At 39.9% G+C, this 13,369-nt stretch overlaps 3 annotated features.

The window, feature by feature from the left end:
• Window positions 4,085-4,595: an enhancer, noted in NCBI's record as "H3K27ac-H3K4me1 hESC enhancer chr7:108219440-108219950 (GRCh37/hg19 assembly coordinates)". NCBI's record gives its function as "activates a minimal SCP1, AML or CMV promoter by ChIP-STARR-seq in naive H9 embryonic stem cells {active_cell/tissue: H9 hESC(naive)}" and the evidence as "EXISTENCE:reporter gene assay evidence [ECO:0000049][PMID:30033119]".
• Window positions 4,596-5,104: an enhancer, noted in NCBI's record as "H3K27ac-H3K4me1 hESC enhancer chr7:108219951-108220459 (GRCh37/hg19 assembly coordinates)". NCBI's record gives its function as "activates a minimal SCP1, AML or CMV promoter by ChIP-STARR-seq in naive and primed H9 embryonic stem cells {active_cell/tissue: H9 hESC(naive and primed)}" and the evidence as "EXISTENCE:reporter gene assay evidence [ECO:0000049][PMID:30033119]".
• Window positions 7,140-7,340: a silencer, noted in NCBI's record as "peak6685 fragment used in MPRA reporter construct". NCBI's record gives its function as "represses an SCP1 promoter by STARR-seq MPRAs in K562 erythroleukemia cells {active_cell/tissue: K562}" and the evidence as "EXISTENCE:reporter gene assay evidence [ECO:0000049][PMID:32103011]".

Consider the following 13,369-nt stretch of genomic DNA (forward strand, 5'->3'; position numbering starts at 1 on the left):
TAATATATAAAGCAGAAGAGTGTGGCTTGGGAGATAAATCAGAAAAACCACAATCAGGATGTCCTGGAGAAGCTTTAAGGATTGGATTTGGGTGAGGGTGCAGAATTCATTCATATTAATTTATTGAAGAACTGCATTGGAAAGCTCTGCTCTTAGCTACTCCCTCCAGGTAAACAGTTGTTAACAAAAGTAACTTTTTCCTCAGGCAAGGGACTAAACAAGTCTTGAAAGAATGGGGTTATTTGGGGGAAGACTTACCCATTGAGGGTATTAGGGTGTGAGGTGAAGGCAGAGTAAAGGTGAAGTGAATTTTCACTTGAAGGTCAAGGGGGTGCTGGTGAGAAATGGCAGCACTCCCAGAGTAAAGCCTCCTTATGTTGGCTTGGTGGGAAACAATTTCTCTGCATGCAGACCACATACTCACCTGTGGGTACCTGCTGGTTAAAAAACCCTGACAATTTAGCCGGGTGTGATGACATGCACCCATAATCCCAGATACTCTGGAAGCTGAGGTGGGAGGAGTTGAAGGCTGCAGTGAGCTATGATTGGCCACTGCCTGACAATTTACTGAGAACCATCGCTTCTATTCAAAAAGGAGGTCTAATGCAGACACATAACTGCTGAAGAAACTGCTTTTCTCAGCTATCTGTGCAATTTGATCTAATCCTTCATAAACACATACTGATGTCCAAAGAATGTCAGACATTTAAGGAAAACTGATAGCTAGGAAAAGAAGCCCCAATGATTAGCCCTGACAATGTAATTCAGAGATTGAATTTAAGATTCTAGTATCAGATTTTTTTAATAGAATATTGCATCAACAGATAAGGACAGTTCTTGTCTTAACCTGCTTACTTCAGGATTTCTTTAATGATGGTGTCAGAACAGATGAAGTAATGTGAACTTACATTTGGTTTACATTTACATCTAACAACCAAAGTCAATGGGAGGTAACAGATGTGTGGTACATGTGTTTCCTACCATGCAGGCCTACTTTTTCCTTTGAAATTCATATTCTTCCTCATATCTCAACTTTGTTACTCAACTCCCTCGCAAACTTCTCTCCAGAGGTTGCCCTAATGTGGAGCTACCTAAATTTATTGTGCAGTTCTTTTTACTGTTACTCATTATGATACACCGTAACTGGTGAGCAGGATGGTGGGGGTGATTACATTCTTATGGAAAAAGACAAGCAATAACCATATGAATAAATTATAAACTGATAAAGTATGGAAAAAAAATGTAGCACAGGAGAGGAGAATTGTGAGGGCAGGCAGGTTGAGGATGTGTTGCAATTTTTGACAGGATTGTCAGTGTTGGCCTCATTGAGAAGGTAAATTTGAGCAGATGCTTGAAGGGAATTGTTTGTACTGAAGGTGGAAGCATATGTGGGAAGTTGTAGGAATGGCAAAGAAGTGCGCATAACTGGAGGCCAGTGAGCAAACCAGAGTAGAAGGAGATGAATTCATAGATAAGAGGGGTTGAAAGCAGCCCTACAGATCACCTAGGGCCTTGCCAACCTTTGTAAAGGATTTGATTTTGGAATGTGATATGGTGGCTGAGCTTGGAGCAGATAAATGACTTGATCTTTAAATCATTTTAAAAGGGTCACTCCACGTGCTTTGTTCAGAATAGACAGAGGGGCAATGGTGGAACAAGGAGAGAGTTTGGAGGCTATTTCAGTATTCTAGGATGAGAAATTGTTGCAGCTTGTGCATCGCACGAGGGTGGCAGCAGTGGAAGTGGTAGGAAGTGGTTGGATTCCAGATGTATTCTGCAAGTACAGCTACCAGGATTTGCTTATGGATTAGATGTAGGTGTGAAAGACAGAGGAGAAAACTATGATTCTAAGCTTCATGTTCTGAGTAACTGGAAATACAGAGTTGCCTTTAAGATGGGAGAGGCTGCAGAAAGAAATTTAGGAGGAAAAATCAGAAGTTCAGCTGAGATATATCAAATTTGAGATGATGAGTAAATGGGTGGAGATATGTCTGAAGTTTGGGAGAGAGAGTGAAGCTGGAAATATGCATTTTGGGATTGTCAAAACATGTGATACTTAAAACTTTGAGAGTAGATGAAATTACTGAGGGAATGTGTAGAGACATAAAGAGCAATTGAATAACTGAGTCCCCTGGTACTCTAAAAATGCAAAAAGAAGATGAGGAGCCTACACAGGCATCTGATAAGCAGCAGCCAGTGAGTAATGAGTTTTGTGTCTTGGAAGGAAGTGAAATAAATATATCAAGAAGTAGAAAGCGGCTGGGCATGGTGACTCACGCCTGTAAACCTAGGACTTTGGGAGGCCGAGGCAGGTGGATTGCTTGAGGTCAGGAGTTCGAGACCAGCTTGGCCAACATGATGAAACCCTGCCTCTACTAAAAATACAAAAATTAGCCAGGTGTGGTGGCAGGTGCCTGTAATCCCAGCTACTTGAGAGGCTGAGGCAGGAGAATCACCTGAATCCAGGAGGTGGAGGTTGCGATGAGTTGAGATCATGCCACTGCACTCCAGCCTGGATGACAAAGTGAGACTCTATCTCAAGAAAAAAAAAAAGAAAAGAAAGAAGTAGAAAGTGATCAACTTTGTAAAATACTGCCACTAAATCCAGTAAGACGATGATTGAGAACTAACCATTGTTGTTTTTAGCAATACTGATATCAAAAATGACCTGGATGCCAATTTCTATCAAGTTTTAGGGGTGAGCCTGATTGAAGCAGGTTTAAAACAGAATGGCAGCAAGATTAAGTGCTCTTAAATCATTTGACAAAACATTTGTGGACATAATTTTTATCGTGGACTTTTTAGTAGAGTATCAGCTATGATTCAATCCATGTAGCAATAGCTTATTCTTCAGAATGATGTTCTGCAGGAGTAAGAAGTATGCTATGAAAAAAAAAATCATGTTTAAATAGATTTGTGAAATCTGGGTTGGGATTCAAACCTTGCTAAATATGTTTCTTTTTAGGTGAGTGCTAGGGTTTGAATGGTTATGTCCTCCCCATATTCCTATAGTATTAGTAGATAGGGCCTTTGGGTAATTAGGTCAGGAGGCAGAATTCTCATGAATGGGATTAGTGCCCTTGTAAAAAGGGCCCAAGGGAGATCACTCATTTTTTTCTACATGTGAGGTTAGAGAAGATCTATGAGGAAGAGGGCTGTCACCAGACAGTCAATCTGCTAGTGCCTTCATCTTAGACTTCTTAGCCCCTAGAACTGTGAGAAATAAAGTTCTGTTTTTTATAAGCCACGCAGTCTATGGCATCTTGTTATGCAAGTCTGAACAGACTGAGACAGTGAGCTGCTCAGAATTCTCAACATACTAATCTATGTTGTGAATCTTTGGTAGCGATACCAAATATTGTTTGCCCAATTTATTGGACCATGGAAACATTTTTACTAAGTACCCTTAACCATATCCAAGTGTGCCACAGTAAAAGTTTGGTAAATACTGGCCTAAATAAAAGTGAAAAAAAATCATATAATAAACCTTTGGAACATGTGCATGAACACATACCAAAGCAAGGATGATAGCATATATTATGTTGGTACTTGTGTTGCATTATTAAAAAAAAAGTATTTGAATTTACTATGATTGAAAAAGATTATCCTATCAGAGCCCATTATGATGGGCTTTAGCCTACATTTCATCAACAAGCTTTTCTTCTTTTGATCACTGTTGTAGCTACTTGAATAATATTGTTTCCTCAGGAGTATTTTATACCTACAATAGCCATCATCAAGCAAATTATAAGAGGACTATTATGTAAATGAAAACTCCTTTATTATTCTCCCAAGAAAATAAAAGCTAATAATTTTTGTTGTTATAGTTTTACAATAAGACAGTATTTGCAGACAGAAAAATCAAACTGTGACTATTAAGATAAATGGGAAATCATCTTATAGTCTACTAGGGTTTGGATGTTTGTCCACTCTAAACCTCATGCTGAAATTTGATCCCCAGTGTTGGAAGTGGGGCCTAATGAGAAATGTTAGGGTCATAGGGGTAGATCCCTCACAAATAGTTTAATGCCCTTTCTCAGGAGTGAGTTCTTTATTAGTTCCCACAAGAGATAGTTGTTAAAAAGAGCCTGACACCTCCCCTGTTTCTCTCCCTTGGTTCCTCTCTCGTCATGTGATCTCTGTATACGCTGGTTCCCCTTTGCCTTCTGCCATGAGTGGAAGCAGTCTGAGGCCCTCACCAGAAGCAGATGCTGGAGCCATGATGCACAGCCTCAGAAGTGTAAGCCAAATAAACCTCTTTTCTTTAGAAATTACCCAGCCGCAAGTATGTCTTTATAGCTACACAAAACAAACCAAGACAGTCTAATCCTTTTGGTGGTGGCAGTGGCCCATCTGGAACAGCTGCTGAAGGAACGCCAGTTGCAGTGGAGGAGGCGAAGCCGGGCTGTGCGCTCCATGGAGACTGCAGGAGCCGGGAACAGGTGGGAGCCCTCTGCTCCCAGGCACACCTGCAGCCACCCTGTGCTCTTAGGGTGCCTGGGAAGACCCCTCCCTCTGCAGGCTTGGAAGTGCTTGCTCCCATTCCGTGGACTCCCTGCTCCCAGTGCCTGCTCCAATTTTGGACCAAAGTTGAGGCCCAGCCCACGTGCTGTTGCAACTTGGCCAGGTGTGCATGTGCTTGGGGTGGCACTGACACACCAGCTTCCTGCTGCCTCAGTCCTCACTGGACTTTGGGTGCCAATAAGCATGGGAGGGAGGCTGAGGTGGGGCTGAAGGTGGCTCAGCATGGGCCTGCAGGTGCTCCTCAGCATGGACAGCCATGGTGCTGTGGCCAGCATGTTGATGATGGCAAGAGGCAGACAGGTTCCTGGCAGGAAGGGGCCAGTCTCCAGTGAAACCTCTCCTTCAAGCCAGGAACAGTGTGAAGCCTGGGGGCTGGACTGCCAGTTCCAGGTGTAGTCTGCCTCCTGAAGTGAGAACTTATGGTGCTTTTTCCAGACCCCCTCCATGGCTAACCATGGACTAAGCAGCACACGCTTCCTCCCTTTTGAGCCCACAAAAATCCCAGATTCAGCCAGACTTACACAGATGTGGGGACTACCACTTGCAGGAAGGAGCTACCTACTTTGGGTCTCCTTAACTTGTAGGGACTACCTGCCTGTGGAAAGGAGCTACCCACTTTGGGTTCCCTGAGAGCTGTTCTGTTGCTCAATGAAGGTCCTCTCTGCCTTGGTCACCCTCCAGTTGTCTGCATACCTCATTCTTCCTGGACATGGGACAAGAACTCCAGATCCACCAAATGGCGGGACTGAAAGAGCCATAACACAAACAGGGCCGAAACACACAGCCCCCCATTTGCCATGTTGTGGGAGATGAAGAGAGAAGAGCTGTACCCTTTGGGGAGCCCAGACCTAGGGGCTCCCTAAGCCAGGGCTGTGACACCCTCTTTGGGGCTCTATAGTTCCTGGTGTCTCCAAGCTTCTGGGTGCCACTGTGTTCCCCTTGTCCAGACGTGAGTGCCTGCAGCAGAAGCTGTGTGTGGTACATCTGGTCCAGCTGTAGCCTTGCACAGAGCTGGCACCTGTGCCGGCACCCGGAGCTGTCCACCCCACCACAGCAGCTGGCATGCCTGGCTGTGTGCAGTGGCTGGACCCTATGCTTGCTCGCTCACACACCCCTCACCATGCTGCACCTGGCTTGCCCTTGGCTCATTTGGGATCTGGGCCAGTAGCACAAGCCGAGCACTGTCTCCATGGCCAAGTGGGCAGAATGACCCCAGTGGGTGTGAGCAATACTCAGGCAGAAGGGGCTGCCGGCCACAGAGGTTTCCAGCTGGCAAAATGACACCCCAAGGATCCCGTAACACTTTTACTCTACCTCTATACATATTTTGGTGAAATATCCTTTGGTTGTGCAAAATAATGTGATGAACAGAAACAGATTAAAATACTAATATAAATGAATAGTTAATTACAGAGTCTTGCTGGAATCAACAAATTTTTTTACTTTGCATATATGCATAAATGAAAAATTACTCATCTTGTACTCCATGTACACTTTTATAATAAAGTTTCCAGTAAGTGCCTACAAAATGGTCTCATGTTGTGGGAGAACCCAAAGGATTCACCAAAAAATAAATCATTAAAAAAGGAAAAGAAATGAAAAACAACAAATCTAGAAAAGCAACGTATAGAGTTTTGTTGGGAAGAGTTGCAAAGAAATGAGCAGTATTTGGTGGGGTAGTGGGGTCAAAAGAAGTTTCCTTACTAAGCAGTAATAATTAGTTTAACATATTTATGAAAAATAATATCAGGTGCTGAAATGATGGAGCAGTGTCTTCAAAGATCTGAGGGGAAAGTGCTTTTGAACTGAGGCCTAAATGGACACATTATTAATAGAGGATGAGACCAAATGAATGCATTTTGAAAATGTAAGAACTGAAAGATTACCACCCACATACCCTTTATGAAAAAAAACTGGCTTTTATTCTACATGGCAATGTACAAAAAAAGGAACAATATTGAGGACAAGAGATGATGGCAGCTGAGTTATACACCCTCAGGAGAAAATAAAACTAGAAGGAAATTGAAAGTATATATTAGAATTTGACACTTGGAAGTTTCTTTTGGGAAACAAGAAATATTTTGTTTCATGGATCTAGTTGCTCAATTTACAATGAAGTTGTTTGCATTATTATATTATAAATGTTTTCCAATCAGTGTGTAAACAAAGAAGGGAGGATTTAATTATATTTATAGGATAATCATGTGAAATGCACCTAACATATCAGGAAATGGAAGGAGAAAGGAAAATGGAAGGTGAAGTGTAAGAAAAGATTAGTGTATTAATTCTATTATCTTTCATAGTAGGTAATCAATTGACTCTGTCTAAAGTTATAAATCAAAGACTGGTGATTTAAGCACATTATTTTAAATTTTAATGACAATCGGAAGATCTGACAACAGACACAGGTAACATGATAGCTTTTAAGGAATGTGACTGGGAGTCGGGAAGATTTACTTTGCATTTTACTTCAATTTGTAATGTTTGAATTTTTGTTTGTGAATGCCTGATTCCCACATTAGTGTATTTTTAAGGAAAACAACAACCACAAACCCTGGTGTATCAGTGAGGATGCCTGCAGCAGCAGGTAACAGAAAACCCTAAACTAAATTTAATACATAAAATAAGCTGAGCAATAAAAGACTTACTTTCTTCTCTAACAAGAGGTACAGAGGTCAGGCAGCTCCAGGAATGGTATTCCAGGAATCTGGTTTTGCTTCTTAGTAGCTGTGTTGGCTCTGACCTCTCTGTGTGTTGGTCGCATCCTCAGGCTGGTAATAAAATGGTTGTTATGAGAAATGAAACCTTTTCTAGAATGTCCTCACAACACTTTCCCTCCCATCTTTATTGGCCAGAAATGCTACCTGTTGCTACAAGTCCATGCCCAAACTAATCACTAGTAAGGGGAATATGATGACCACAATTGATGTAGGTCAACAGTTAAGACCCAGAATGGTGGTCTGGTCTAGTCTCCCCTGAAACTCATCATTACATGGAAAAGCGTGGTGTTTTAGTCTGTTTAGTGCTACTACAACAGCATATCACAGACTGGGTAGCCTATAATAAAGATAAATTTGTCTCTCACAGCCCTGATGCTGGGAAGTCCAAGATCAAGGTGCTGGCATCTGGTGAGGGCTTTCTTGCAGTGTCATAACATGGCAGAAGGTATCATATGGGAGAAAGAGAGAGAGAGAGAGAGAACTCAGCTTTTTGTGAGGGAACTACTCCCATGATAATGGCATTAATTCATTCATGAGGACAGACCTCTCATGACCTAGTCACCTCTTAAAGGTCACACCTCTCAACATTGTAACATTGGGGATTAAGTTTCCAACATACGAACTTTGGGAGACACATTCAAATGGTAGCAGGTGGATACCAAGAAAAAAAGACATTATATTATAGGGGAATGAGAGAAGGATGTGTATCCTACAACCAGTTGAATATTAAAACTTAAAAACAGACCTCAGTGGTTTTTAAATCTTTATTTTCTTTATGATTTCTTCTTCACTATTAGATTATTTAGATGTTTTTAAAAAGGATTGGGCTCTTTTTGTACCCATGAATGATGGCTGGGTTTTTTTTTTTCAGTTAGAAACAAACCTCACCTTAAGTACTGTGGAATCTTGGCCTTGGTAGATGACATTTTTGGTTCCAACTATTTGGGACAGATTCCAAAGTTTCATGATGTAATAATTTATGATTTTTTTGAAGTATAAAATTGAATTGCAATTGTATGCCTTAATAGTCTACTCTTCACTCAGGTAGTAAGTGAGCATAGCTACCAATTCAACATCTATGTATAAAGATGTCTTTGGGTGGTTTGTAAATAAAATTATCTTTATCTTTGGGTAAAGATTACTTTATGTAGGCATTGATAAATGGTGTTCATTACATTAGAGATCCGAGTGTCTTTAATCAAGGTCAATACTATTTTTTTTTTTTTTTTTTCCTGGAATTGGTTGTGATCATGGCTCCTTTACTCAATCAAATCTTTTGCTGCCCACCTTTCTCCACTCTGCCTCATCCTGCCATGGTCACCTAAATTTCCCTCATCAATTTGAATACTAGCTTTGAATTTGAAACTACTGGCCTTTAGGGAGTCAAATCTACACCTGGATTATTTCCCTTAGCCTTGGCCCTGGAAACTCCTTGTTTTCACTCTCTCCCAAACAACTGATGCTGTTGAGGTCCCAAGGATGCCTCTGGTCGAGTCTTTTTGAGTTGTGACACATTATGCAATTATCACTCACTAAATCTGCAGTTTCAATCAGTATTGCAGACACTTTCAACTATTCAACTTTAGGATTAATTTCATATTATTTAAATATAATTTCATATAATAATTACCTGAAGAAACATTACATGATTCATTCCATATATTAGGGAAAAGTCATTACAATTCTCCACTGACATTTCACAATTTACTTTTAGTTACAACTAAGTGTATTAATATGTAGGTAATAATTTAAAAGTATTACAATATTTTCTTGTTTTAAGTAAATTTTACCTTAGCATTTTCTAAATGGTTATTCTAGGATAGGTCTTAAATTACATATTTCATAATTAGAAATGGAAGGAATGGTGTTTGTTAATGAATATCATTTGGTTCTTCTATTGATTTTTATCTTTTAGGTAATACTGGTTCTTATTCTCTGACACATAGATCAGTAATATAGGCCCATGTAAATCTGGGACATGAGATATGGAGAACAACATTTTTCTTTGCTTCTCAGGGAGGGTTATGATCCATTCATCTCTGTTCCCTTCTCTGTGTAGGTAAAAGAGTCTATTAGTCAGCATCAGTTAATTGATGTTGTGATAACCACCCCAAAATCTTAGTGACTTAGCACTATAAACATTTTTTTTTCTCATTCATACAAAATCTGCTGTGGGTCCAGGTTTCTTTCCATGGCAGCTGTCTCCCACCTGATGAGACATCAGTGCTGACTCATAAATTGTGGCTCTACCAGCTTAATGCAAGGCTTTTTTGGCTATCAGAGAAAGAAATAAGAGTCTCCCATTGTCAAATGCTTTGGCCCGGAAGTGACACATATACTTCACCCCACTGGCCAGGTATGGTCTTATGATGCCATCTAAGAGAAGGGATCTGGAAGTATAATCTTCTATGTGACTGGGAGGTAGAGTAGAGTTGGAAAATGGTACATGTTAGCAGTATCTACCTCAGAGACGTACTTTGTAGGTCACAGAAAATTTTTCAGGAGACAGATGATCTCCAATTTTGCAACACTCAATATACACATCATACTAATTGTGTGAAAGTAAATAGGCCTACACCAATGGAATGTATGTGTTTTCTATACAAGAATAGAATAGGTAAGGGCAATAGAACATGCTAGAGTAAAATATATTTCAAATTCATTTCCTTAAATGATGGAATAGTACTATCAAAATTAAATATTTCTAATAACTTTATTATAGATAAATTCTATATTTTGTATTTTTGCATAAGAATAGCTGTAAACCAGCATTTTTCCAAAGTGTGCTCTATTTATGTTAAATGAAAATAGGAATTTTATAGTGAAGTATGGGAAACTCCCAGTTTCAAAAATTTCCTTATTACATGAAGATTTCTCAGAGTGGTTAATATACTAATTTTCTTTGGATGTCCTGAAGCAGATATAGTATGAGGCATTTCTAAATATATATATATACATATATATACATATGTATGTATATATGTGTGTATATATATGTATATATGTGTATATGTATATATATGTGTATATATGTATATATGTGTATATATGTATATATATGTGTGTATATATGTATATATGTATATATATATGTATATATATGTGTGTATATATATATGTATATATATATATTCAAGAAACCTTTTTTAAAGGAGCATCTCTCTGGACCAATTAGGTAAAAGAATAATTCTGTGTAATGCTCTTCGGAAACTCTAGACTAGACATACCTTTAAAAACCTAATTAAAGAACTAACTTTTGTAGTAAGGGTAAGGGCAAACCCCTAAAAACTTTACTTTAAAAGCTTGCCATGAACAAGTGTTAGGATGAATGTTTCTCATGGAGCTACTACGGGCACTAAAGCAAATTTACTAAAAGAGTGATTTGATGAGAAAATCATGACCTTAAAGTGCAAAGTATGTGTGTATAGTATTACCTTGCTTTTGTTTGTTACGAACACTAGGAAACTCCAGATTAAAGTTAGATATTGGTCCTAAAGACAGAATACTTGTGATTTAAGAGACACAATATGCATCCATCTTAGTGAGCATGAGCATAAAAGTCCTTCTTTTCTTATTCCTGGAGTGCTTATTAACTTCTGTGTTTGCCTGCCACCTGGAAAATGATATAAAATTATGAATATAAAAGGCTAGTACTGGGGAAGTTAGAAACTTCACCTAGATGGGAAAAAAGGGCAAAGATAATTGCGCCCACTCATTCATAGCTGGTGCTCTTCTTTCTTCATGAAGAAATTGAAGTAATCTAAAAAGAATTCCCCAAGTTTCCCCATCATCCTTCCATAGCAGTGGCTTCACTTTCTCTGCCTTTCTGTAAGTCCCACTATCAGTAACAAACTATTAATAATCCCACTTACAGCTGTCCCCTCCACTGTACACTGGATCACATCACTCAGGGCTTTCAAGGGCACTGCTCCAGAGATTATTTCCCTCTCCCGTCTCCCTTCTTCTCCTATGTTACTTTTTTTTTCTTTCCATTCAATAATTCCCCAGCAAACAAACCTGTTGCTATTTCTGTCAACAAATTTTTCTTTGGACCCCACTTATTCAACCAATTGTGGTCTCATTTCTTTGCTCTCTTTTGTAGCAAAACTTTTCCTAAGAGTTTTCAATCCCACCATGCCACCAAAACTTCCCTTGTCAGGGTTATCAATGAGCTGCACATTGTGAAAGCAATGTCAGATAACGAATAAATCTGTCATTTCTCTGACTTAATCTTACATACACTTCAACACTTTCCTCCTTGATAGTCTTTCTTTACTTATGTCCCAGAACACTGATCTCTGGGTTTTTCTTTCCTCCATTGGTTGCTTTTTCTCGGTGTCTTTTGTTGATTCCTCTTCCTCTCCTTTGCATCTTCTCAGTTCTGATTCTTTCTGTCCTCTCTCCCCTCCAGTTCTTTCTTATCTCCTCCTTTTCCCTCTTCTCCTTTTTGAGTCTCTTCCCCTTCCCCGTCCCCATTCCCTTTCCTTTCCTTTCCTTTCCTTTCCTTCCTCTTCTCCTTTCATCACTTCCATTCTCTTCTACTCCTGGTTATACTCGTTCCTTTGGTGAACTCTTTCATCCCATAGTTTTAACCATCAACATGCCTGCCACTTCCAAATTTTTATCTCTAGCCAAGATTCATATATTAAAAACTGCAGATTCATATATCCAACTGTCCACTTAACATGTCTAATGTGGTATTGTGGATATTCCAACTCTGACCTGCTCCAGCTCAGCTGATTGTAAAGCCATCCTTCCAGTTGTTTAGGTTAAAACCCCAGAGTGATTCTTGATTTCTTTCATGCTCTTAGCACTCACACTCCATAGGCAATCCCACTGGCTTTGCCTTCAATGTATTTTCAGTATCTGACAGCTTCCTTTCAACTCCAATGTTAGTACCAGCATCATCTTTCATAGGGATTATTAGGTAAAAGAAAGTTTTCATTCTCTACCCCTTATTAGTCTGTTATCAAGCCAACAATGAGAGTTATTCTTTTTAAAGGTACATAAGAACTTGTTATCTTTCTGCCTAAAGCCTTCCATTTACTCCCTCCCCATTCCCAGTAAGAGCTAAATCATTTACAATAGTCTATGAAGTCCTACACAATCAGCTTACCTTCCCTTTACCTCACTGATTTTATCTTTGACTGCTTTTCCCCTTTGTATTAGCCAGGGTTCTCTAGAGCAACAGAACTAATAGGGTATATATTATAAATAAGGGGATTATTAAGGAGAATTGACTCACATGATCACAAGGTGAAGTCCCATGATAGTCTGTCTGCAAGGTGAGGAGCAAGGAAGCCAGTGGTGGATCAATCTGTGGCCAAAGGCTCGAGAACCCCTGGCAAACCACTGGTATAAGTCCAAGACTCTTAAAGCTCAAGAACTTGGAGTCTTATGTTCCAGGGCAGGAAGCATCCAGCACAGGAGAAAGATGAAGGCCAGAAGACTCAGCAAGTCTACTCTTCTGTCTTCTCCTGCCTGCTTTATTCTAGCTGCACTGGCAGCTGATTAGATGGTGCCCACCCAGATTGAGGATGGGTCTGCCTCTCCCAGTCCACTGACTCAAATGTTAATCTCCTTTGGCAACACCCTCACAGAACATCCAGGAACAATACTTTGCATCCTTTAATCCAGTCAAGTTGACACTCAATATTAACCATCACACCCTTCTTCATTCTGTACTAGCCAGACAGGAATCCTCACTCTTCCAGGAACACGCCAGGCTTGCTTTCTCTTTAGGGCCTTTGCACTAGCTGGTTCCTCTGTTTGGAGCATTCTTGATTATACAGCCAATCCCTTCAGCTTCTTCCAGTCTTGGCTCACCTGTCACCTCTTCAATGGGGCCTTTCTGGCCACCCTATTTAATACCACACTGTGTCCCTCCTCCCTCACACTCTCCATCCCTTTATCTTACTCTGTTTTTATTTTCACACAGCACTTATCACCTTATTTCATTACTTATTATGTTATTATCTGTTTCCTCCTGATAGAATATAAGCTACTTGGAGGTAGGGATCTTCCACTGCTGTGTCTCAAGTGCCTATATCTGTGACTGGTATAGGGTAAATTTTCCATAACTATTTAGTGAATAAGTAAATTCGACGTCATATGTGTATATCTCA

This window comes from Homo sapiens, chromosome 7 (assembly GCF_000001405.40).
Source record: "Homo sapiens chromosome 7, GRCh38.p14 Primary Assembly".
Taxonomy (NCBI): domain Eukaryota; kingdom Metazoa; phylum Chordata; class Mammalia; order Primates; family Hominidae; genus Homo; species Homo sapiens.